Below are 27,464 nucleotides of genomic sequence, written 5' to 3'. Positions count from 1 at the left end.
GCTTTATTTGTATCTGTGTTGTTTATGTGGCCCCCTCCCTCCCCATTCTCAGTCCTACATAAGGCCTAGGCCCCTATCGAAGTGAGAGGAATGGTGTACTCTAGTGGCTAATCTCAGATTCCATGTTTCTGAGATCTGTAGAAAACTGTTCCCAAAGCAAACATCGAATACCTGAGATGACATTGCTTTTCCCTGGGAGAGAGTTCCTTTAAAAGAGAAGAGCACACTTTCGGCAAGAATGGTCAAGAGTCAGTAATGATTGCTGAAGAGTATCTGATTTGATAACACCATGATTATCGACGAACCAAATCTCTGAGGAATATGGTACTGGGTTTCCTTTAGTTGAAGTCAGCTTATTTATTTTCCTACTCGATAGGCTTCGGAGTAATAATAGCCAACATTTATTGAGCACAAAGTGCCAATAGTTGTGCCCAACATTTTGCATGGATTATTTCATTTATTCCTCAGAACAATTCTGTGTAGAGGTGCAGGATTCATTTGACCAGGTTTACCCACGTGGAAACAGACTTTCTGATAATTAATGAATGAATTAGCGAATGAATGAAAGTATCTTACCCAAGGTCACACAACAATTAGTAGCAAAGTCAGAATAGTAGCTGAACTTTCAGACTCGAAAAGGCCTTTAACCGCTACACTGTTGCCTTGCCATTAGTATTTCCAGGTTAAGAAGAAAGTTATCGATAGATTCAATTAATTGTAGAAAATTATTAATGAAAATATGGGGCCACTTGTTTTGTTGTCTCTTAAATTTTTTTCTCTACGTCGTTGAAGCCCTGTGCTCTTTGCTTTTCTCTCTATCCTTTCCATTACATTGCCTTCTAACACTATACCCATGAGGACAGGAAAATAAAATGAAAGAAAAGAGTTAATAATTTTTTAAGTTGTGGTTTAAAAACCTGCCAAATTTACGGTCTTAACTATTTTTAAGTGTGCAGTCCATTAGTGAAGTATATTGACATTGTTGTGCAAGGACTCTTCAGAACTTTTTCATCTTACAACACAACTGTGTACTAATCAGACAGCTCCCTACCGCCCCGTCTCCTAAGACCCTGGCAACTACCATTCTACTTTGTGTTTCTGTGAATTTAACTACTTTAGTTACCTCAGATAGGTAGATTCATGCAGTATCTTTTTGTGACTGTCTTACTTCACTTAGCATAATGTTCCCAAGTTTCATTTATGTTGTAACGTGAAGAATTCCTCTTTAAAAAAATACTGATTAGGCTGGGCGCGGTGGCTCACGCCTGTTATCCCAGCACTTTGGGAGGCCGAGGCGGGCGGATCATTTGAGGTGAGGAGTTCGAGACCAGCCTGGCCAACATGATGAAACGCCATCTCTACTAAAAATACAAAAAAATTAGCCAGGCGTGGTGGTGCATGCCTGTAATCCCAGCTACTAGGGGATGCTGAGGCAGGAGAATCGCTTGAACTCGGGAGATGGAGGTTACAGTGAGTCGAGATGGCAACACTGCACTCCAGCCTGGGCGACACAGCGAGACTCCATCTCAAAAAAACAAAAAAAAAAAGACCAAAAAAAAGCTACAGTAAAAAAACTGAATAATATTCCATTGTATATATACACCACATTTTGTTAATCCATTCATCTGTCTATGGACATTTGGGTTCCTTTCACCTCTTGGCTATTATGAATAATGCTGCTATGAACAAGGATATGCAAAGAGCCTGCTTTCAATTATTTTGGATACCAAGAAGTGGGATTGTAGGATCATACAGTAATTCTATTTTTAATTTTTGAGGAACCACAATACAGTTTCTGTAGCGCCTGCACCATTTTACTTTCCCACGAACAGTACATAGGGTTTCAGTTTCTCACCATCCTTGCCAACACCTATTTTCTGTTTTTGTTGGTTTTGATAGTACCCATCCTTGAGTGGGAGGTGATATCTCATTGTGGCTTTGATTTGCATTTCTCTGATGATTAGTGATGTTGAGCATCTTTTCATATGCTTATTGGCTAGTTTTATAATATCCCATTTTTGGAGAAAATGTCTGTTCAAGTCCTTTGCCCATTTTTAAATCACATTACTTGTTTTTTTTTTGTTGAGTTGTAGGAGTTCCTTATTTATTCTGGATATTAACCCCTTATCAGATATGTGATTTGCAGATGTTTTCTCCTATTTATATGTTGCCTTTTCATCACTTTGTTGATGGTGCTATTTGATGCACATAAGTTTTTAAGTTTGTTGTAGTGCCATTTTTCTATTTTTGCTTTGTTTTTTTGTGCTTTTGCTGTCATATTCAAGAAATCATTGCCAGGAGTTAATTATTTTTGAATCCTCCCCTACTGTTGAATATGATTTCATTTAGTCATTATCTAGTCCTAGAGGGACAGTTTTAACATTAAGTGAGTAGGCAGTCTAGACAGAATAACTTGGCTTTTGAAGTCTGACTCCACCTACTAGCTTGTAACCTTATTTTTGAGCAGGGTAGAGAACCTCTCTAGCCTTTAGCTTTTTCGTCTGTAAAATGGAGACAATGTACTGATCTCATAGTGCTGTTGTGAGGATTAAATGGGTTAATACAGGTAAAGCATTTAACAGTAAGCACTCAATTAATTTTGGTGTCATCCCCATTTTACAAGTGTGAAGCTCTGAGAATTCTTAAAACCCACCCAAATGTACACACTATCATGCTTCTGTCATGCAAACAATTTGAATAAATCTCCTAAAAGATATTATAAGATACCAAAGCACAACACAGTTTGTTGCTCTTAAGGACATGAATGTTGGAAAAATTAAGAAATGTAAGGGTGAAAGTTGGTAGTACAAATGTAAGGCAGTATGTGATTACCAAATAAAGTGATAGGGGATAACTGTGTAGTCCAAAAACCTTAGTTCAGATGCAGATGTTTTCTCTGACTCCTTTTTCACCAGTGACAAATTACTTAACTCCTCTGAGCCTTCTTTAGTTATATGTAAAGTGAAGATGTCATCACAGGATTTATGTGAGCTGAAATAAAGTTATATGCCAGTACTCAGAGAAGTGTATTTTATATAGAACATTCTAGAAGATGTTTATTGGTACAATTTAAGAATTCAGGAGAGAGAAAGATCTAGGACATTTGTGTGAGATCCTGATAAAATATTTCATATAGAAGGAAGTCGAAGCTATTGGTTACAATTAGATTTTAAAATTTTAGCCCTGAATTTCACTTATACTAGTCCACCACCAAATTCTTATAACTCAGAAAGTTGACTGAATGTTCGTCTGGATATGCTTAAACTAAGAGAGGCAAAAGAAAAGATCACATTTTGATTTCCATTATTCTTACATGGTAAAACATGAGACTAAATTCCTGCTAGATTCCAGGATTTTTGTCCTCTTAAAATTTTATTTTTGCCAGGTAGGAAGTCTGATACATAAGACACTTTCAGAAATTGGCAAGAGTTTTTCTTGACAAAAAACTTAATCCCCAAATGGATCTAGGATATTGTTTCTTTCCATGTTTTTAGTTGAGAATATTATTTTACAGTTTACTTATTGCAGTGGACTTCTAAGTGAATTCAGTTGTACAACTTTCAAATATTTTAAAGTATTGATATATATGAATAGCTACCACATAGAAAATATAAATATTCTAGAAAAAATGTCAGTAAGCAGAACTCAGTAACTGTAGTTTCTGAATAAACTGTACATTTATTGAGTTATTGATATGTTCTGGATTTTCAGAGAGGGGTACAATCTGTTTTAATGCTTTGCATTGCAATTTCATAATAATTGGGAAATAGTTTGTAGATTTTTTTTTTTAAGAGAAAAGCATTTTTATTGTTTTCAGGAACACTGTAGTAATTTGAATCAATTGGTGGCTTACAGCTTCAAAAAAGGCCATTCTTCATCTACTGTAATGAACGGATAAGTATGATAATCCAAATTATGTATTGAATAGTATATAATTTGCAGCATCTATCTGCACAATAGCAATTTAAACAGTCCTTTTTCTTCCTAATTTTTTGCTACATTATTTTAAAATTTATATCTAATAAAAAATACAAAGTTCTGTCTCTTTTTGTCTTACTTAAAATGGTTTAAAAAGTAGCTTTTAAAATTGTCATTATACATCTGGAGTATTATCCAACATATTCTTTTTAAGATAATTTCAGTCTTTTGTGTTTCTGACTTAATTGAAATTTAGTGACAAGTACAAATTATACATTCAAAACAATTATTTCTATAGCACCAACTGAAGTGTTACAAAAATGATTTCCAAATTTCAGCTAGTAGCCAAATTATTTCAGATATTACAGTTGAAGAAAGAATACTGATTCAGGGTTTGAATCTTAATTTAATAATGATGTGACCTTGGATATATAGCTTAATCTTTCCGAACCTCAATTTCCTCATCTATAAAATGGAGTTTGATTTATTCAACAAATTTTTACTGAATATACATTTTTCTGTCCCAGACAATATTCTAAGAACTGGGAATTCAGTGGATAGTAAGACAGAGTCCTTGTCCTCATGGAGCTTACCTTCTAGGGGAAACATGAAGTATCTATCTGGTATATGACACAATAATTCCATTTCTGTCATTACCTCTTCCTTTCCTGAGCCTCAGCTTTCTCATTTGTAATCTTCGCAGGCTTATCGTGAGGATATTTTATTATCTTAAGTGCTGTAAGCATGTCATGTATTATTTCTATAGGAAAAAACTTGAATAGTACCTTGGAGTTGATAGTATGTTTGTCTCTTCTGTCATTTGTTAAAGTAATTATTTGAGCATAAGATAATTGCTTTAAATTAGGAGTAATATTAATTTGGATTCAACTACTCATTCCATGCTTAGTTAACATTTAGTTCTTCTGCCTTGCTGACTTCATCCCTTACATTGCCTGTGTATATAGCTGTCTCTCTCCTACATTTAAAATACCTTAGCGGTCAGGAACTATTTTAATCTTAATTATCTTTTTTACTCCCATGATGCCTAACAGTATTTTACATATATTTGTGACATCTATGGGCCTGGATTTTCTGGAATGATAGCTGTTTATTTAATTTTACTCTCTTCAATAAAGATAATTTGTTAAATAAATAACTAAATGAAAATATTATAGCCATAAGGCCTTCTATATTAATATATTCACAAATGAAGCTTTTCTATAATCAGCCCAAGTGTTCCAAAAAAAAAATATATATATATATAGGGATTGTCTCTGTAGCAAAAATTTGGAAAGCGTATAAATGTCCATTAGTGGAAACTGATTAAATTCATTGCATTCATAAATTATGCACCTATTAAAAATGATGACATGGACCTGTGTTTATTGCTATAAGGTGATATCTCTAATATGTCAACAATTGAAGAAAATTAAGCTAAAAACAGGTAGATTATTATATTTTTTTAATTTAATAATGTCTAAAAAGCTAGACAGCTAGCTAACTAGAGTAACCAAAAGGCTATAGTGATTTTTTGGGGGGGATTTGGGGGAGGGTTGGAAGGGGATTTATAAGTGATTTTTACTTTGTTATTTTATTTATTTATTTATTTTTGAGACAGTGTCTCGTTCTGTCGCCCAGGCTGGAGTGCAGTGGCACAATCTCAGCTCACCGCAACCTCCGCCTCCTGGGTTCAAGCGATTATCTTGCCTCAGCCTCCGAGTAGCTAGGACTACAGGCGTGTGTCACGACACCAGCTTATTTTTGTGTTTTTAGTAGAGACGGGGTTTCACCATGTTGACCAGGCTGGTTTCAAACTCCTGACCTCAAGTGATCCACCTGCCTCAGCCTCCCAAAGTGCTGGGATTACAAGCATGAGCCACCACGCCTGGCCTGTTATGTTTTTTAATGAGCTGAACATACATGTTTGTATAATCACACAAATAAAAGCTATTTGTATTTTGTGAAAAAGAAAAAATCTATTTGTTTTTCAAATCATGTGTTCTGATATTCAATTCAGCTAATGGTGGACATTATATAGGAGTGCAACAGAAACTTAAGAATAAAAATAGATCTCAGTTCTTCCTTTTTGGATTATCAACATAAATATTTTAAATTCTATATTAACTTTTTCATTGGTCTTTAATATGGAATATACTAAATTACATGCAGATTATGTTAAAACTCCTAGTAGAGCAGTACGTCTGGAAGGTAAATGCATAAAATAAGATTGGATAAAATTTTTCATAAAAGTGAATGTTCTCTGGTTTATAAGTACTATCCCAATTAATGTTTGTAACACTGCGCATTATTGTAAAAGAGATCCCATGTGATAGCTAAGACATTTAATAAATCCAAAAGATCCAATGTGTTCTAAATTCTCATGGTAGTTGAACTGAGTCATCTTCTTAGGCATCAGTTCCAGTGATTATTAGTACTGACAACTTTGCTGATTCCATTTTTAAGATGATTAAGCTAGATTTTGAGGCCCAGAAGTAATACAGCTTGTCCACATTTTCACTTGATGGAGCCAAAGACTGTGTAGTATGAGCTCATGTATGCACACAGCTACTGTTAGGCAGAAGCCCTGTGCATGAAATTCCAGAAAAATCTTCATTATCATAGTAACTGCCAAAAATCTGTAACAACTATATGATTCTGCTTTAGCAATATCCAAAATCTAGGTGTTAACATGGAAAATGTCCAGAGGAACCATGGGAGAACATGTTTGTGCTAAAAATGAAAGGAGGAACACACAGATAACTTCTAATTAGCATGCAGTGGGTCTTCGTGGCCACGTTTATTTATTTTGTTTTATTTTATTTCATTTAAAAAAATTTTTTGAGATGGAGTCTCGCTCTGTTGCCCAGGCCGGAATGCAATGGTACAATCCTGGCTCACTGCAACCTCCATCTCCCGGGTTCAAGCAGTTCTCCTGCCTTAGCCTCCCAAGTAGCTGGGACTACAGGCATGCACCACCATGTCCAGGTAATTTTTGTATTTTTAGTAGAGACGGGGTTTCCCCATGTTGGCCAGGCTGGTCTCGAACTCCTGACCTTAGGTGATCTACCCACCTCAACCTCCCAAAGTGCTGGGATTACAGGCGTGAGCCACTGTACCCGGCTGGTGGGCACTTTTAAATATTAAACATATATAACCACTTTCATATCTGGCTCTACAATTTTTAAAAAGTTTTTTTTTTTATTGGCCGAAATATTTATATAAAGAGATACTTCCTCCTCCACCTGTCTTATGGTTATGCAGTGGTATCGTTTATATAGGAAAATCATGATAAATGCTTGATTGCTTTTATCAGTTTTCAGGAAAAGGAGGCTATTCCTTTTCATTCTCCAAAAACTAGCAAGTTATCATTTTTTAGGTTTTTGGTTAGTGGGAGCCCCTTTATATTAGTACATTTAGTTTTGGAAAATTTTGAAATAATTTCAAACTTACAGAAAAGTTGCAAGAATAATACAAACTTACACAAATATAAAATCATTCAAACTTAATACAAATAATACTAATTTCCAAATACATTTCATTTACTTTGTATTTGTTAAAATTTTTACGTTTGCTTTATCAGGACCTTTCTCTCTCCCCCTCTGCTACCCTTCTCTCTTTCTCTTTCTCTTTCTACACACACACACACCACAGTCTGTTTTTCTGGAACCAATTAACAGTAGCTGTAGACATGATCTCCCATTACCCCTAAATAACTGAGCATACATTTTCTAAGACAAGGACACTCTCTTAGATAATCACAGCGTAACCATCAAGTTTATGAAATCAGTGCTTTCACCTTACTCACATTCTGCCAGTTTTCTCAATTATGCCCCTTATGGCAAAAAAAAAAAAAAAAAAGCACATGTCCACATGTCGCATTTATGTGGCCATGATGTTTTATTCTCCAGATACCATCTTTTTTTTTTTCTTGACCTTGGTATTTTTGATGAGTATATGCCAATTTTTTTTTTTTTTTTAATTTCTGCTCACCGCAACCTCCACCTCCTGGGTTCAAGCGATTCTCCAGCCTCCCAAGTAGCTGGGATTACAGGCATGCACCACGACGCCCAGCTATTTTTTTTTTTTTTTTTTTTTTTTTTTTTTGTATTTTTAACATGGTTTCGCCATGTTAGCCAGGCTGGTCTCGAACTCCTGACCTCAAGTGATCCGCCTGCCTCAGCCTCCCAAAGTGTTGGGATTACAGGCGTGAGCCACCGTGCCTGGCCTAGGCCAGTGAGTTTATAGAATTTCCCTCAACTTTTTTTTTTTTTTTTTTTTAAATAAATAGAGACAGGGTTTCACTGTGTTCTCCAGGCTGGTTTTGAACTCCTGGGCTCAAGTGATCCTCCCACCTTGGCCTCCCAAAGTGCTGGGATTACAGGCATGAGCCACCATGCCCAGCCCTGAATTTGGCTTTGACTGATATTTCATCGTATTTGTTTTTGGTGTAATACTATGGAAGTGACGTGTGTTCCTTTTTTTGAGTCTCACTTTGTCACCCAGACTGGAGTGTAGTGGCATGATCGTGGCTCGCTGCAACCTATGCCTCCTGGGCTCAAGTAATTCTTCTACCTTAGCCTCCCGAGTAGCTGGTACTACAGGCGTATGCCACCATGCCTGGCTAATTTTTGTGTTTTTTGTAGAGGCAAGGTTTTGCTATGTTGCCCAGGCAGGTCTGGAACTCCCTGGGCTCAAGTGATCAGCCCACCTTGGCATCCCAAAGTGCTGGGATTACAGGTGTGAGCTACCGTGCCCTGCTGATGTGTGTTCTTAGTGTAACATATCAGGAGACACATGATGTTGATTTGGTCCTTACTGGTGAGGTTACTTTGATCACTTAGTTAAGTTAGTGATTGCTGTTTTCCTCCACTATGATGTTATTCTTTGAGATGGAGTCTCTCTCTGTCACCCAGGCTGGAGTGTATGGCGCGATCTCGGCTCACTGCGAGCTCCACCTCCCAGGTTCACACCATTCTCCTGCCTCAGCCTCCCGAGTAGCTGGGACTATAAGCGCCTGCCACCACACCTGGCTAATTTTTTGTATTTTTTAGTAGAAACAGGGTTTCACTGTGTTAGCCAGGATAGTCTCGATCTCCTGACCTCCTGATCCGCCCGCCTCGGCCTCCCAAAGTTCTGGGATTACAGGCGTGAGCCACTGCGCCTGGCGATGTTATTCTTTTCTTCTTTGTAATAAATACATGTTTTGTAGGGAAATACTTTGAAACTGTGTATGTGTCCTGTTACTCAACAAACTTTCACTGTCTCTTTGTAGCATCCATTGGTTATTCTTTCCTGAAAAAATTTCTGATGGTTGCCAAATGTGGTTTTCTAATTCCATAATTCCTTCTACATTTATCAGTTAGCATTCAGCCTCAATTATCTGTTACAGATTCATGGTTTCCGATTTAATCTGTCATTATCATCATTTATTTTTGTGTTCAGATTTAGTTAGTGCGAGCCCCTTCAGGCTGGCTCCTGTGTCTTTTGGACATGTTCTCATTGTTCTTTGAATTTTTAAATTTCCTAACACAAAAAAATTTCAGGCTCACATTTTACTTTCTCTGCCCTAGGAATCAGCTAGTTCTCCAAGAAGTCCTGACTCCTTTTACTGGAAAATGGTATTTAGAAACTAGATATAGATACTAAATGAACTCATAGCTTACAGAAGTGTCATTGTTTCTAGCCCTATCAGTGGACAGAGCCAGGAAATAAATGTATGCGTGAATGCATGTATGTATATTTCTGTACATATGTGTGTTATATGTGTTTGTGATCTACACATATTTATAGTAATTTGGTCAATATTAATTTTAGTATCTGTGACACATGCACACACATACAGTATATTCACACACTTCCATTTTTAGTAAAATGCCACAGGATTCATTCCAGCCATCTCCATTTCCATGTTTGTGATTCTGTTCTCTGTTAGAGAATCAGAACAGAATGAGAAATGTGGCTCCCACTTATTTGCTCATTTTCCCTTTTATGTAACAAATTGCTTCATTACATAAAATCGAGCTTTTATGTAAAATTTTCTATGTATTTTAGTACATAAAAGCCCATTGGTCCAGGCCCTCTTGAGCTCAGCCATGTTTTTGGTTGTGACTGTCTCTATTTTTAAATTTATTTTATTTTTTGATACAGTCTGTGTCACCGAGGTTGGAGTGCAGTGGCACAATCATGGCTTACTGCAACCTCTGCCTCTTGGGTTCAAGTGATTCTCCTGTCTCAGCCTCCCGAGTAGCTGGGACTACAGGTGCATGCCACCACACCTGGCTACTTTTTGTATTTTTAGTAGAGACGAGGTTTCACCATGTTGGCCAGGCTGGTCTCAAATTCTTGACCTCAAGTGATCCCTCCGCCTCAGCCTCCTAAAGTGCTGGGATTACAGGCGTGAGCCACCGCACCTGGCCATGACTGTCTCTTGAGTCCCAATAAGCTTCCTTGGTTCAGGATTCAGGCATTGCCAGCCCCAGATGCCAAAAGGAAAAAGAAGGGAAAGGAAGAAGCCTAATAATTTTTCTATTAGAAGAGGGAAAAACAGGGGAAGCCCACCATTTAGAAAATATTCAAACCGTATCTACAGTGTTAGAAGATACTGTCATTACATGCTGTATGCTCTCTCTTAACCGTCATTTAGTCTTAGTTGTATAAATAACTATACATTTAATGCTTACTACTACCAGTCCTTATGTCAGCATATATGTAATTATTTTGGATTCCTAAAGCCTGTTTTATAGTGGATTCCCAGAAGGGCTTGTGGGAACTAAGCTCCATTCATTCTAGAATGTTGAAAACAGTTCATCTGTGGCTTTACTGCTTGAAGTTATTTTGGTGGATAGAAAGTCTTTGCTGTACGTTTTCTTTCCATGTGTATCTGTTACTCCATTGTTTTATGCAAGTACTACTGATGAACAAAGTCTGATGACAGTCTAATTTCCTCTCCTTTATAAGTCATTTGCTCTTTTTGCCTAGATATTTAATTTTATTAGAATATGTCTTGGTGTTAGTTATTCTTGGTCAGTATTAGGTCTGTGATTTGCCCTTTCATTTAATAGTTTCAGATTTTTTGTTTTTATGTCAGAAAAGTTTATTTGTTCTATTTTTTTGTTTTTCTTCAGTACTCCTATTGTACATATGTTGGATCTTTACTGTTAATATTTGCTGTTTTCTCTTGAAATTTTTTTGTCTTTTTGACTTTTTAAAAAAATGTTTTAAATTTCCTTCTGGTATATTTTCTTTCTCTTTTAAGCATTATCCTGTTGTATTTATGAGTCTAGTTTCTTCTAGTTTAGTCTTTTTTTAATTGATTTTTTAAAATGTCTTATTTTTTATTGAGTTTTATCACATAAGTTTTTGAGAGATAATTTTTTCTTTTCTTTTTTTTTTTTTTTTTTTTTTTTTTTTTTGAGACAGTCTTGCTCTGTCACCCAGGCTGGAGTGCAGTGGCTCAATCTCAGCTCATTGCAACCTCCACCTCCAGGTTCAAGCAATTCTCCCACCTCAGCCTCCCGGGTAGCTGGGATTACAGGCACTGGTCATCACGCCCGGCTAATTTTTGTATTTTTGTAGAGACAGGATTTCACCATGTTGACCAGGCTAGTCTTGAACTCCTGACCTCAGGTGATCTACCCGCCTCAGCCTCCCAAAGTGCTGGGATTACAGATGTGATCCACTGCATCTGGCCAGTAATTTCTGATGTTGTAATTTTGATATATATTGTTCTTTTATATCATGCATTATTTTTTAGTCTTTTCAGCTTGTTTTGAAGTATTAAAGTGTTCATCTGTTTTGTTAGCAAGTGTTTATGGTGTGTATTTATCGTCTTCAGAGGTTTAATTCATACTCATCCTTTTTTTCTTATAATTTTGTATCAGATTTGACTTCTGTCATTTTCTTTTACTCATTTTTATGTGCTGGTAAATACGTAGAGATCCTTCTGTTTTTGTGTAATGTTTAAAAATGTCACCTTGCTAAATGAGATCTTCTCATTCCTTTATCCTTCCCTACTTTTATCTGGAGTTTCTCTTTTCATTTTTTTTGTTTTCCCTGTCCTCTTCAGTTTGGGTCCTGTTCCCAGGAGTTTCTTCTTGGTGTGGCTTTGTTGTGGAAGAGAGCTTTGATTGATTATTTTTGAGGGCATGTAGTGACTAGAGTCTTCCATGCCTTTAAAGCTTTATTGTGGACCCGTGCACTTGTGTACTATTGTAGTAGGCAAAACTCATTCCTTTTTACACACTTTTCCCAGTTTTGCCTGTTGTGCTATATAGAGAGTCCCTGTTGGTTATTTTTATTTTTAATTTTTTTTTATGTTCTGTGGGCTGGCAAATGCCCCTGTATTATACTCCACTGCCCACACAGATCTTGTGGCAGTTGGTGGTTTTTCCCCACCTTATATTTTGGGATTTTGTGCATGAGGTTTTCTCTGACTTTATGAGGGAATTCGGAGAGATTTAAAATTTAAGCTGATGTCATAGCCTTTTTTCCAGAATTCCCACAAAAGTTTTTATGTCTAAATGTTGTGAACCACTACCTCCCTTAGACCATGCTGGTTTCCGTTCATTGCGATTGCAGACTAAATACAGACTATAGTTTAAAAATTGGCCAGGCGTGTGGCTCACGCCTGTAATCCCAGCACTTTGGGAGGCCAAGGCGGGTGGATCACTTGAAGTCAGGAGTTTGAGACCAGCCTGGCCAATATGGTGAAACCCCATCTCTACTAAAAAAAAAATCAAAAAATTAGCCAGGTGTCGGGGGCAGGTACCTGTAGTCCCAGTTACTCAGGAGGCTGAGACAGAATTGCCTGAACCCAGGAGACGGAGGTTGCAGTGAACCGAGATTATACCACTGCACTCCAGCCTGGCTCAGTCTCAAAAAAAAAAAAAAAAAAAAAAAGACTGTTTATGTTATATTTCTCATTAATAACTGATTAGATTGGTACCTAGTTGAGTGTGTGTATATATATACATACTTTATTGAGACATTATTGAGACATAATATTGAGAGTGTGTGTATATATATATACATGCTTTATTGAGACATAATTCACATACCATACAATTCACTCATTTCAATTATACCATTCAGTGTTTCTTTAGTATTTTAACAGAGCTGCACAACAATTATGGAAATCAATTTTAGAACATTTCCTTACTTCAAAAAGACACCTCATTACTCTTTAGCAGTCACTCCTCATTTATTCCCAGTTCCACCCTCCCCTGCACCCCCAGCTTTGGCAATGATTCATTTACTTTCTGTCCCTGTAGATTTGCCTGTTCTGTACATTTCATATAAACGGAACCGTATAGTATACCATCTTTTGTGACTGGAGTCTTTCACTTAGCATAATGTTTTCAAGGTCCATTCATGTTGTAGCACATATCAGTACTCTGTTTCTTTTTATTTTTGAAAATATTTCATTGTCTGGATATATCATTATCCATCAGTTGATAGATATTTGGTTGTTTGTATCTTTTTGCCATTGTGAATAATGTTGCAATGAACATTTGTGAATCAGTTTTTGTATATCATTTCTCTTGGATATGTACTTAGGAATGGGATTGTTGAGTCAAATGGTAACTATGTTTACTTTTTTAAAGAACTACTAGATGATTTTTTCAAAGTAGCAGCATCATTTTACATTCTCACTAGAAACTTATTAGGGTACCAATTTCTCCCCATCCTTCTCAACATTTGCTATTGTTCATCTTTTGGATGTGGGTTTGAAGTGATACTTCTCTTTGTGGTTTTGATTTTTATTTCCCTAATAGCTAATGATGTTGAGCAACTTTTTTTTTGTGCTTATTGACCATTTGTTTGTTTGTTTTGGAGAAATTGTCTATTCAGATCCTTCACCCGTTTTTTTAACCGGTGTTTTTGATCTTTTTATTACTGAACTGTAAGAATTCTTTATATATTCTGGATACTTTTTTTTGAAAATCAGGTATGTTATTTGTAAACATTTTTTTTTCCATTCTGTTGATTATAGCCTTTGAAGTACAAAAGTTTTAAATTTTGATAAAGCCCATTTTCTCTGTTTTCCTTTTATCACATTTACTTTTGTTTCTGTAGTTAAGAATATTTTGCCTAAATCAACATCATGAAGATTTACTTCTGTATTTTCTTCTAAGAGTTTTAAAGCTTTAGCTCTTACACTTAGATTCATGATCCATTCCGAGTTAATTTTTGTGTCCAGTGTGATGGAGTCCAAATTTATTCTTTTGCATGTGGATGGCTAGTTGTTGACCCACAAGTTCTGATATTTGGTGTTTTAATTTCTATTCAGTTCTAAGTATTTTGTAATTTCTATTGTAGTTATTTCTTTGATACACAAGCTGTCTAGATTTTTTTATTTTGTTTTTTCTTTTCCAACCCATTTATGATTTTTTTAGTTACATTTTTTGTAACTGATTTCTCATATAACTGTATTGTGCTCATAGATTGTGGTATATATATATATATATATGGTAATAATTCTCTGAGATTTGAAAAGGACCACTCTATGGTCTAGCGATAATGTGGGCCTGTGAGAAAGAGATATTCACTAGTTGGGTATAATGTTATATCTCTTAGATAAAGCTTATAAATTTGATGTCTAAGTCATCTGTATCCTCAATGATTTCTTAAAATTTACCTTATATCAGTTACTGATTGAAATGTGTTAAAATCCATAATGATGATGGATTTCCCTTTTTCTCCATTAGTTTTGTTAATGTTTTTTATGTTTAGTTTTAACTTTTATTATGGAAAGTTTTAAGCACACACAAAAGGAGAAAAAAATAGTATAATCACTCCCAATCACTCACCTGTCTTGAACCATTATGAGTATATATGGCCAACCTTATTTCATTCACATTCTTTCTACCCCTACTTTTATGTTTCTCCTCCCCAGATTATTAAAAAGCAAATCCTTGATAAGAATTATTTTTTACACTCATTGTTCACATTTACTCTCATATTTACCACACTATTTGCTTACCATTCCTTTTTCCATCTCAGCCTATCTGTAAATGTTTTCCTTTTGCCTGAAATGTATATATTACAGTATCCTCTAGTGAAAATCTTTTAGTGATAAATTTTCTATTTGTTGGAAAATGTTTTTATCTTGTGCACTTTCTGGGAAATTAGTGCATAACTCAAGTTAGCAATTTATTTTTTCTGAGCATTTGGATGATAATATTCCAGTATCTTGGCTCCCATTGTTGCTATTGAGAATTAAACAGGAAGTCTAAATTTCTGTTACTTTGTGGATGATCTCATTGGCTACTTTAAAGACTTACCTCTTTTTCTTTGGTAATCTGCAGTGTCACATGATATGACAAATAAAATTATGTCATAAATAATTGAATGATTATAATCTCAAGTTACTAGCTTTAACTTAACATTCTACTTCTAGATGGTGATTAGTGTTCTGTAAACAGTTAAGTACTTAGGGGAATGCGTGCTAATTAAAAAGATCCTATGGTGAATCTTTTTGGAGAACACACTTCATAATTTGTCTGCTTTAAAACTTTCTTCTCAGGATCTTGTGTATGTACGTTGATGTAAACAGGCATAGTGTACTTTATCTTTCTACAGCACTATTGGAAATAATTATGAAAAATGGAAGCACGGCTGGAAATAGCCCTCATTGCCGAAAACCATCAGGTAGTGGCGATCAAAGCAAGCCTAATTGCACAAAGGACAGCACATCTGGTAGTGGTGAAGGTGGAAAAGGCTATACCAAAGACCAAGTAGATGGAGTTCTCAGGTAGGAATAAATATGGTTTACATCTCAATCATAATTGGTATTAATGTACTTTTTGATGTTATAACACCTGAAAAAAGTGAAATATAACATTAGAAGAATAGACATCAAGGAATTGAACTCTGGGTGTGTCTTATGCTTCATATTCTTTATAAAACTGGTCTGTAAAGTACCAACTCTATAGAATATTCTATTTTTTAAAGTAACCTCAAGTTACAAAGCTTTTTCCAAATAATTTTTTTAAGAAAAATTATTGCAGCTTTTTCACACAATATGTTGTTTATGTAGCAATATTAAAAGAGGATGAAGAATTGTTTTATTTTACATAGATGAAAATGGGAGAATTTCATGAGAGGAATATTGAGTGTAATAGCAACATTTTCAATTTCCTACTTATATTAGTGAAGGATTTTTTTCTATTTATATTCTTTTTGAAGGGCTATCTTTATATATATGCAGACACTATAATGTCCTTTCGCAGAAATGTTAGAGTTGAAAAGTTATACACTGGGTTTTGGGTATCTGGCTTTAATTTTATAAGTAAAAGGTTTTCTGGAAATGAAATGAAACTTTGAGTTTGAAACACTAGAGAAAAGTCTGTTTTGTTTCCTGCTAAAGCTTATGGAAGCTGTATTGATGTTGTGCTGATATTACTTTGCTAGGGAAACTAAAGATTAAGGATTTTGAACAGAGATTAATTCAAGAATTCTCATGGAGAGTGAATCATAATATAGTGAACTAACTCAAGTGAAGAGTAGTTAAAATTAGTTAGGTTAAGTCTTTCTCATTTGTCCTTTCTTGTCTGTTTCTCTTTTAATTTTATTTCTTTTTTCACCTTTTTACCCCATTCTCAACTTTTTATTTACCATAATTTGTAATTGAAGTGTATTTTGAGATACAGGTTTTATTTATTAAGGAAAGTGATTTGTTACCATATCTTAATTTTAAAATCAAATACCCATATATTTATATTTTGCATTTGTCCCTATATATTTAAATGCTAAAGCTTGATTGTAACATTTTATTTGAGAGTGATTACAATGAGAAAAAACGATTCTCTGACTGAGTGTGGTGGCTCACGCCTGTAATCCTAGCACTTTGGGAGGCCAAGGCGGGCAGATCCCCTGAGGTCAGGAGTTCAAGACCAGCCTGGCCAACATGGCAAAACCTCATTTCTACTAAAAATAGAAAAAGTAGCCGGGCGTGGTGATAGGCACCTGTAATCCCAGCTACTCGGGAGGCTGAGGCTGAGGAATCACTTGAACTCAAGAGGCAGAGGTTGCAGTGAGCCAAGATCACACCACTGCACTCCAGCCTGGGCGACAGAGCAAGACACCTTCTCAAACAAACAAACAAACAAACAAAAAAGGATTCCTTAATCATGGTAAAGCCATGGTAGAGTATTTGATTAGTATGAATGGTAGTGAAGCACTTTGAGAATATAAATAATGCTGCTAACCATTTTTATACTTATAGTACTGTGTCAGAGGTAGCTGAATAAGTGAAAGAAGTGAATAAGTAAGAGACTTACTTTTGAATTTATTTTGTAAAAAACGTTTATTAGTAAGCAGTGTGCTTGAAACACGTTTCTGGAAACCACATCCTAAAACAAATTGTATTTGCTTATAGGATTTAATTTATGTTGGGAGAACATATTCTCAATGAAGGATTCAAAGAAAGTTAAATGTATTTTATATATATATATTTAAGAATATAGAATCACCTATATATTTGAAAGTTTACCAAAAAACTATGGTTGAAAGTTTTGAAAAAGAAGACTCTCCTAAATCTGGTGTTATTTTAAAAAGTCTGTTTCTTCATTTCCTCTACCCTAGCCTTGAAAGAAAAAGAAGAGTAGTCCAAGGTGTGGTAGAAATAAGGAAGGAAGAGCATTGATGCCTCTTTGTTCTGGTATTGATTATATATATATGTGGGGTGGGGTTGGTTTTGTGTGTATGTGGGTGGTTGTGTGTGTGGTTCTCCAAAGCCCAGAGGAACTGGCTGTAGGCAAGGAGACACCTTGAGAATGGAAGAATGAAAGATGATGCTGAGTGTAGATACACTCTGTATGTGGCCAGAGACATACAGACATACAGGTGGAGACATAAAAGGTGGAAGGAATTTTTCTGTTTTCTCTGTCAAATTGGAGATGAGGCTGTCTTCTGAGAGTTAGAAGAAAAGAGATGAGGTTGAAAGCTTAAGAGAGTGGTAAAAGTATGGAATATTTGCAGAGGAGAAAAGCAAAGGGAATGAAGTATTGCTGATTTAGTTTTAAGGCCCAGCCACATTTGGGACCATGAATTCTTTAAGAGTGGAAGAAATAGCTTAGTAGTATACCTGTATTAGAGATTGGTCCTCTGGTCAATAATCTCATTATACCTTTTTAATTAAATGTAATTTTTTTTTCTTTTGGGGACTAAATATGATTGGAACAGTCTCTAAGAGAATCCCCAAGTTTTCAAAATACTTTAGTCTGTACTTTATGTGAGTTTCTTAGCTGAATATACCTTTTCTCTTATATTAGCCTTCATAAGTGTTGCTTTAGTGAGGGTACAGATCACCAGCAAACACTTACATGATGTATGTTTTTGTTTTTTCTTTTACCTATACACAGGGGATTTTTCTGAAGAAAGCCATGTTATCTTGTTGGTTAGCACGATTATGCAAACAAGTTGCTCAGTGACAATTTGGCTCAATGGGGAGAAGTCTTGCAATAATACTGCATCCATTGCATAAGTAAGAGCTAGCTTACAGTAAGACTGAAGAGAAAGTGTGTAACTTTGTAAACTAATATTCTGTTAAACTTGGCGATTTGTTTTTTTTGAGTTGAAGTGTATTGAAAAATAATTGAGACAAAGTTGTCATGGATCTTATTTGAAATTTTTAACATACCATTGAAAAACTTTAAAACTTTACAAGATCAGTGTGAAATTATTAACTGGAGTATCATTGTATTTATCAATTAGAAACACTGTACAACTGTTAATTATGGGGATTTGAATTTAAGATTTGATTTAAGCTTCCGTTCTTTCAGAAGAAATCATTTCGCTAAACTTATAAAATAAGTAATTCTTTTTCTCAGGAATAAATAAATGTTTCCTTAAACACTAGTTAAATTTGGAGTATATTTAAATAATTAGCTATATAGCACACATGAAAAAAAGAGAATCGAAAAATGACCTTCCTCTCCCACCAACTATGCTTCCATGCACATAAGAGAAGATATAAAGTCTGGACCAGGCAGAGTTTTCCCATTGTTGAGCTCCACACAGATCCTTTTGGCCTTGTTGTACATTATTTCCTTCCAAGATAGGTAATGGGTTACTCCTTTTTAATTTCTTTTAATTCTTCAGTGAGGCAGGAGAAGGTTTTACTCTTTTAGAAAGCAGCAGATTGTAAAAAGTGTGACAAACACATGTAGCTGATGAAAAGGAGCATGATGAACAACAGTATGAATGAAAATAATTATATGAATGATAATTTCTCATTCAGGTGTGAAAACTTAGGTGAATGGGTATATTTGGAGCATTACTTCAAATACATAGTCTTCAGGCTGTCCATTGGTGATGATGACTGTAACTTCTGGCTTCTCAAGAATTTCTTCTCTAATATATGATGAAAAATTTAGTGCAGAGGAGATATGGTGGAGCTGGATACAGCTAAGAGTTAGTGAAATAACTGTTTTTCATGTCTGGCCCCCCCTTTTTTTTTTGTTTGTCTGTGGCAATTCTTAGCTTTATGACCCTATCTAGAGCACTGCAAATTTTCACCTACTTTGTCTACAGTATCCAGCTGTCTTTTTAAGTTGACCAGGCTTTTGTGCTCAGTAATTATAAACAAGACAATTTAGAGGCTTAATCTGGAACATAATTAAACATCCTACACACTCAAACCAAGTAGTAATGGCTTTAGGATTGTTCAGTGTTTAATTTACCTTTTATTTTTTGCATTCAGGTAGTGTCTGCCATATTCGTACCTCTCCACCTTGTCTCACAGTCTGTTTCACTTCTATTAACTGCTTCTCTTCTATTCCAAATGATTTTTAGTACTAACTACATTTTCATGACAGCATTCATCACATTTGATCTGAACGTGACTTTTTAGATCCTCACCATTTCTGCTCTCAAATTGAAAGTCATTTGTCCATCCATCCAACATATATGGTGAACAAAACATAATCCCTGCCTTCAAAGAATCTGTGATCTAGAAGTGTTATCAGACAAGTAAAGAGGCAACTGTAGTACACTTTGGTAATTGTTGGGATAAGGCTAAGTTCAGAGGATGTGGGGAGGATATAAGAGGGGCAGCAAACCTAGTCCTGAGGAATTTGGATTCTTAGGAAAAGGAAGAGCTAAGTCAGGGTCCGGAGAAGTTGTAGAAACTAGCTAACCAAGAAGAGAGGCAGAGAAGGTGTGCTCAGCACCAAAAGCAATTGCAAAGATCTAGGAGGTAAGAGAGTCAGCTTCAATACTGATGGTAAGAAAGAAATAGGAAGATGATAGGTCACTTTGAAGTCTGAAGGGTATCCTTTTTTCTGTATTCCAGTTCTGAGACAGCAAGATTTTCAAGTCAGATAAACAGATTTGAATTCTTAACTGTGAGGCCTTCCTTTATTACTTATTTGAAATAGAAGGCCTGCCCTTCCTTTCTCTGTTTCTATTAGCTTCTTTATTTTTCTCCAGATATTTATCACCATATGATGTACATTATATTTTACTTATATATTTGTTTATTGCTTGTTTTTCTCCCAATTGTAAATTTAATGTGATTTTGACTGTTTTATTCACCACTGTAGCATCTGAAATTGTGCCTAACAGAAAGTAAATGGTTAGTAAATTTTTGTTGAAGAAATAAGTCCTTATTCTCATCTGTTACTTGGTTATGTGAATTTAGGCAATTTACTTAACCATTCAAAGATTGGTTTCCTTATTGGTTAAATAGGAATAATATCTACCAAATGAGGAGTAAATGAGATAATTTGTGTAAAATAATCAGTATAATAAAATTCTACAATTCTTTATGTGAAATCTTTGTGACCAAATGCAATTTGGAATTCAGAATTCTTCATATTTTAGAAAGGTACTAATATAGTCGGCTCTCCACATCTATGGGTTCTGCATCTGTGGATTTAACCAACTTTGAATTGAAAGTATTTGGTGAAAAATAACAATACAACAATAAAAAATAATACAAATTAAACAACCAATATAGTGTAACAACCATTTACGTAGCATTTACATTGTCTTAGGTACTATTTATAACCTAGAGATTATTTAAAGTACATGGGAAGATGTGTAAAGGTTGTATGTAAATACTGTACCATTTTATATCAGGGATTTGAGCATCTGTAGATTTTGGTATTCAAGGAGGGAGGATCCTGGAACTAATCCCCTGTGGATACCAAGGGATGACAGTGTATTTTATATTATACATCTTAGAGTCTAGGGCAGCAGTCCATAACAAATAGTAACATTTCTACAGCAAAACATACAGGTATTCACACTTAAATGGGATAAATGAAGATTCTGTAGTAGCTTCACATCTTTTCGGTCAGATTTTTGCCTAGAGGCAAAATCTACAGTTGAATTCAGTTTTTTATGCAGTCAAATTAGTTATAGAATAACTTTGATTTTTCAGAGCTTTATGGATATTGGAACATTGATATGGGATGGTGGACCTGTACCTAACACACAGTAGGTATTTTATAAATGCCCCCCATTTCCTTTTTTTCTATCACATAGCTTCTAAACATTTCTAGGAGAATGAGTCTCTACACAGGTGGGATCATTCTCTTTTTTTGTTTACAGATATATGTCAAATGCCTAGAACACTGTCTGGGCATAGTTAGTATTCAATAAATATTATTGACTAAATAAAGGAAATGTCATGTTTTTGGAATAAAATTGATGTATGTTAATGTTTTTAAGTATCTAAAGTAGAAAAATCCAATTTTAATTTCTGTAAATTTGTACAATTTTATATTACTTTCCCTTTTTACCCCCAAGTTCATATAACAAATGATAGATGCCTTCATTATATAAAGAAAGCTAAGGCTCATTTACTTCAAAAATATTTACTGAGATCCTTTTGTGTGCCAAGCACTGTGATAACTAATAGGTGTAATAGTAAAAAAAAAAAAAAAAAAATCTTGTCTCTTTTCTTTGAAAACTTTGAGTCAGTCTTTGCAGTTCTTTTGCTGCCAGTGTCCACTTATACCCTAGATCATTTTGCCTGTCACTAACTCTGTCATCAAGCCACCTGCACATGGAACACATCTAAAGTTGCAAAGTACTCTCCAAAAATTTTGAAAATGTACTGTGGCTTTTGTGAAAGTAAATTACTAGGTTGTGGAAGAAGGTTGGCATCCACATGTACGTAATGTTCTCTGTTCCATTCAGAGTATTTATTTTCTAATCCTAATATACTTTAAAGATTTCAGGCTTAAATCTCTTAAATCTTTAAGGTACAAACTGTATGTATATAATCTTTAGAAATGTGCTTATCACAATGAAAATCAGGGATAACATTTTTTGAGTCACGTGTTATATTTTATCATGAGATGTTATCTTTTTCAGAGAGTGATACAGATAAATTATCTTTGGCATAACGGGGATGGCCGGGTGCAGTGGTTTATGCCTATAATCCCAGCACTTTGGAAGGCTGAGATGGGAGGATCATTTGAGGCCCGAATTTCAAGACTAGCCTCAGCCCCAACATAACAAGACCCCATCTATATCAAAAATAAATAAATATTGACATTTAAACCATAGAATACTGCTGTTGTTTTGCGTGTACTAAACTGTTGCTTTGATAGTTGGTTAGATCTACATTATGCAAGAACAAAATTTTTGGAATGTAATGCATGTTCATTCTTAGCTGTGACATACTTTTGAGGAGTTTTGGAATTTATTTATCCACTTACAAGTACTAAAAAATTATTATTATTGTCTCATTTTAGTTACAATATATGCTCTGACTTTCATCCACAATTATTATGGGCTTTGTTTACTTCTCTGTAGTTGTGATACATTACACTAAGGACATTTTCATGGTTTACTCTTCTTAGATTCGGGAAGAGGTTGGAGGAATGGTCTGTGGTCGAAAAAGAGAATGAAGCAGACTAATCCTTAAAGGGATAAGCCTTCATTAGATTTTGAGAAAGAGTCCACAGATAGTTCTTTATAGTATTCTAATAAATTAAAAATTAGAGATATTACATGACCGTCTTCCTTGAAATTTACATTATAACACACTCTCTTGTTCACAGCATAAACAAATGTAAAAATTACTATGAAGTACTTGGAGTTACGAAAGATGCTGGTGATGAAGATTTGAAAAAAGCTTATAGAAAGCTTGCTTTGAAGTTTCATCCAGACAAAAACCATGCACCTGGAGCAACAGATGCTTTTAAAAGTAAAGTAAACCTTTTAAAGCAATTTTACTAAGCTGTCTTTAGAATTCACTTTACGGCGTTTCAGAATATTAAGTTCTGCTTTTGGACTGGTGCATTTAGAGACCAGCACAAGCAAGAGTCTGGAAAATCCTTTAAAACTTCAGTATTAACTGGTTATACCCGAAGGCAAACAAATGCAGTTTGGCTTCACAAAAGCAACATTCCAGTTCTGATACAGTCTCAAGTAACTTTTCTAGGCACATATGCATGCTTTCTTGTTTACCAGGAACAAATAGGGTGATGATTATGCATGAGCTTCTAGCGTATTGTCATCTGGTTCTAAATGAACTAAAAGCAAAATATAGTTTTTTTGAGTTTTTAAGGTACAAGAGACTGTGTGGAATTTGGATATTTAAGAAATAGCTCCCCAGTGTTCTTTTATTTCTATTAAACTTTGCCCAGTTTTTTCATTTTATATATGTAGTTTTAGCTAATGTTATTTTTTTCTTTTTAAAAATTAATATCTTTCCTCTTGCCTACTATTTATTTTTTTATTTTCCATCCCAATATTCTTTAAATTTTTTGCCAATTTAATAAATGTCAGAGAAGTGATTTTGTAGTTTTATATTTTGTTAAATACAATTTATTTGTAATAATTAATTTCTAATTCATAGTTAAATGCCTAAATTTGTGATTGTTCATTCTTGTGAATTTGGCATTCATAAACCCAGTGTATAATGTTTACAGTACAATGGTGGGGTCTTAGAATAACTGGAAGTAGATACTCATTTTAAACATCTTCCAAAAAGGTAGAAGAAGCAATTGGTCCTTCATGAAAATACCGTTAAGATTGTTTCCAAAACAGTTTTATTTCTTGAAGGAAGTTGCCAAGGAAAATACATTTGGGAATTAATAATATATTCCAATAAAAGCCACTGCCAAAGTGGTGCTGGTGAAAGTAAAATACCACTGTGACAGCGAGAGCTGTCTCAGTTTGTTTCCTTAAAGTAAAAGTGGCATGTTGAAAGTACAGGAAAAGCTTTACTCCAAAACACTAACTTGCAAATTACATTTCCGTCAGTTCATTACCTGAAGAATGTATCCAGAAAATAGTGCCATTATTTTATTTCCTCCAAATACACACCTTTATTAAACAAAGATAAAGCTTTCATTTTAAAAAAACACAGATAATAGCACTTAGGTTAATTTATAATTCAATAGTACAGAAAGTTGGGAAATTTCTGATGGAATTGTCAAATACAATAAATATTTGTTTAATTTGTTTTATAGCTTGAGCCTAATGTATGCAGTCACAGAGTTACCAGAAAAAGTAACTGAAATCTTTAAATAGCTAATTTATTATCATATATTCCCCCAAAAGCTAAAAGTGAGTTTAGATTTATGAGTTCCACAAATTTAATTTAAAATTTTTTGAGTTTTAAAAATGTTTAAAATATTTTGGCAGTGGGTTATTTGTATGTTTGTGATCTGCTAAGTGATTTCAATGTTAATTCTTTATTAATGCTAAGAACATTAAACTATTTCTTCCACTTCTATATTGAAGTCATGTTAGCATCTTTGAATAACACTAAATGTATGTAACATATTTCTGCAGCCTGTGTTGCGTTTTGAATAGGTTAGCAACATAGATGTCACCTAAGGAAGCCCGCTAGACACTCAGTGGGGTTTTACAAAACTGGTTACACTTTCATGTGGTACATTTCAGAGTTTAGTGCTCTGCTTTGCAAAACTAGAAACTTAATACTTACCAACATGCCGGGAAGTGATTTATATCTGAGGAGAGGATACATTGTTCAATACACAAAGAGATTACCTGTAAATCAGAATGCCAGTTTATTAGTCCCAAAGAGGATCAGAATAGGGAATTGGCTGATGAGCCCATTTTTCACTGAGTGGAAACTGCATAGAAAACTCAAGTTGTAATCCACACACGCTTGGCGAGTAACAGTAGTTAATTAGAAAATATTACAGATGGCATCATCACACAGAAATGGCAGGTTTCATTCATTTAGCACACAGGATCTTCTCATTATCTTCTGTATCATCTTATTTTATTTTTAACCAATCAGTCTGTTTTTGGAATACTAAGCCATTTATCTCTGAGCAAAGACAATACTATTGTCTTTTTTATAAAAGCTAAAGTATGGATTGATTGCTCTGTAATTACTAAAACACTTTTTACAGAAAATGGAAACTACTTGCTTTCATTTCCTTCAAGAATAGAAAAAGAAGAGGTAATTAGTAATTAAATGAAGAGATGTTTCATTTGTGTGTTTTGTAAAGCTTTAAAAATAAAAAAGATTGCTCTCAAGGAGAATGGACTAAATGAACTCATATGTTCATATAGCTATTTTGTCCTTCCAGTTAGGATTATATGTTTCCCAAGAGGGGAATATTTTATTTACATGTAAAGTGACTTGCAAAATACATGTAAACATATTTTAAAAAAATATTTTAATGAAATAAGTCCCTTTCCTTTTTTCTGATGTAGATGTCTTTAAAACATACCCATCTACATTATCTTCAAAGATTCCCAAGTATTTCAGAGACTATTTGAATAATACCTGTGTCTGTTGACATACACATGAATGTAATAATGGGGCATGGATTAGTTGTTTATGTGTTTGCTTGACAAGTAGTAGTGGAATGGGAGTTGTTGCTTGTATTAGTTCTGGTAGTTCAATATGAACATCTAGAGTATATCTCTAAGAACAAAGAGTTTAATTCTGCCATTTGGGCTAGTTCTTGTAGAGAAATACAGTGAGAGAATCTGAGATATCCTCTTCCCCAAATAATTTATAATTCATAAGGGGGAAATAAACCTTACACAGAACTTTTGCGATATAGTAATGCCTCACATTTAACAAACATAGTTTTTCATTCCCATTTTTACATTTAATGCTTATTTAAAAATCTCATCAAATAGTTAAGAGACCAGTGTCATTCTTATTTCAAAAATAAAAAAATTGAGACTCAGATTTACCCAGGATCTCACAGAAGACCAACTATATTTAAATACCAAAACAGACTACAGAAGTCCAAAGAAAAGTTAGAAAGATGAAGACTCATTGTGAGCAGAGTAATTGGGAAAGCCTTCATAATAGTTAGAATTAAGGTTAAAATTAAGAGTTTTCTCAAGAGTTAGCATGATTTCTATGGTTAAAGAGAGGGGTTGGCAAAACCTTGGCAGCGAAAATGAGGTGGGTGATCTAAAATTCCATGAGGACTTCCACTTTCAGGAAGATAGGACAGATATACTTTTCCCCATTTCTCCCAATGAGTACAACTGAAAACCCCAAACATTAATATATAAAATAAAGAAAACAAACATAGGAAGACTCTGAAAGATGGAGAGAAAAAAGGCAGACCAACTAGGTAGGGACCTCAGGATTCAAAGAACAACATATTAGTTAGTTGCTTAGGTTTTTGTTTGTTTGTTTGTTTGTTTGTTTTTTAAGATGGAGTCTTGCTCTGTCACCCAGGCTGGAATGCAGTGGCGCAGTCTCAGCTCACCGCAACCTCTGCCTCTCGGGTTCAAGCAATTCTCTGCCTCAGCCTTCCAAGTAGCTGGGATTACAGGCGCCTGCCACCAATCCCAGTTAATTATTTTGTATTTTTAGTAGAGATGGGGTTTCACCATCTTGGCCAGGCTGGTCTTGAACTCCTGACCTCGTGATCCACCTACCTCAGCCTCCCAAAGTGCTGGGATTACCAGTGTGAGCCACCATGCCTGGCCTAGGTATTTTTTTACCCCATATATATCCCAGATTAGGTGCTGGAGGAGTAGGCAACCCCAAAACACCAATACATATAGACAGAAAAGCCCCAAGAAAAGCCTGCCTTATCTAGCCAAATGATCAGGAAAGGGATAGCCTAGAAAGACAGAAAAACAGTAGCCACTCTACTGCAAACACCACAGGAAAAATTGTGGCCCCACCCTGACCCACACTAGCAAAGTCTGAGTAGAGAGCCTATACTACCACCCCCTCTGTGCTGTAATGAGATGCTACCACCCTCTCTATGCTGTAATGAGATGCTCTAAGCTCCCTGCTGGGATGGTAACAGAGAAGGTTAACTAGATAGCTTAGACTTTCATTTATGCTGGGTAGTAAGAAAGGCTTCCCTCATGATGTCAGTGGAGATCATGTGGACTTTCACCTCCACCTGGCAATAAAAGGGTGCTCATTCTCCCTGCTAGGGTAGTATCATAGGTAGCCTAATGCACAGTCAGGACTTCAGTCACCACCCACAGGTAACAAAGTCATTTCCTTATGGTATCAGGGAAGTTAAATGGAGAACAGTAATGAAGTATCTCTTCTCCTCCTAGCCAGGGAGACGTAAGTGGAGGCCTGATGTTCCCATAAGGGAACTTACGTATCTATC

At 35.1% G+C, this 27,464-nt stretch overlaps 1 protein-coding gene across 7 annotated transcripts in view, besides 1 other annotated feature; it reads left to right on the top strand.

Moving 5' to 3' along the window:
• DNAJB14 (DnaJ heat shock protein family (Hsp40) member B14) overlaps positions 1-27,464 on the top strand; it is a 50,371-nt gene that overhangs the window by 499 nt on the left and 22,408 nt on the right. For 2 of the 7 annotated variants that reach the window (XR_938772.3, NM_001031723.4), the window contains exons 2-3: positions 15,499-15,670; positions 22,935-23,080. Coding sequence is in view for 6 of the 7 variants with exons in the window: in NM_001031723.4 (NP_001026893.1) it covers positions 15,499-15,670; positions 22,935-23,080 (318 nt within the window). In the remaining variant the exon portion in view is untranslated. Of the gene's footprint in view, positions 1-15,498; positions 15,671-17,502; positions 17,579-18,281; positions 18,404-21,304; positions 21,361-22,242; positions 22,437-22,934; positions 23,081-27,464 lie in introns of those variants that run through there. The other 5 variants (XM_047416185.1, XM_047416186.1, NM_001278311.2 and 2 more) reach the window with 5 other exon arrangements.
• Positions 69-118: an enhancer, noted in NCBI's record as "active region_21742". NCBI's record gives its function as "activates an Ori minimal core promoter by ATAC-STARR-seq in GM12878 lymphoblastoid cells {active_cell/tissue: GM12878}" and the evidence as "EXISTENCE:reporter gene assay evidence [ECO:0000049][PMID:35858748]".

The sequence above is a fragment of the Homo sapiens genome, chromosome 4 (assembly GCF_000001405.40).
Source record: "Homo sapiens chromosome 4, GRCh38.p14 Primary Assembly".
NCBI classification, from domain to species: Eukaryota; Metazoa; Chordata; class Mammalia; order Primates; family Hominidae; genus Homo; species Homo sapiens.
This window is presented reverse-complemented; position numbering and strand designations above follow the sequence as displayed.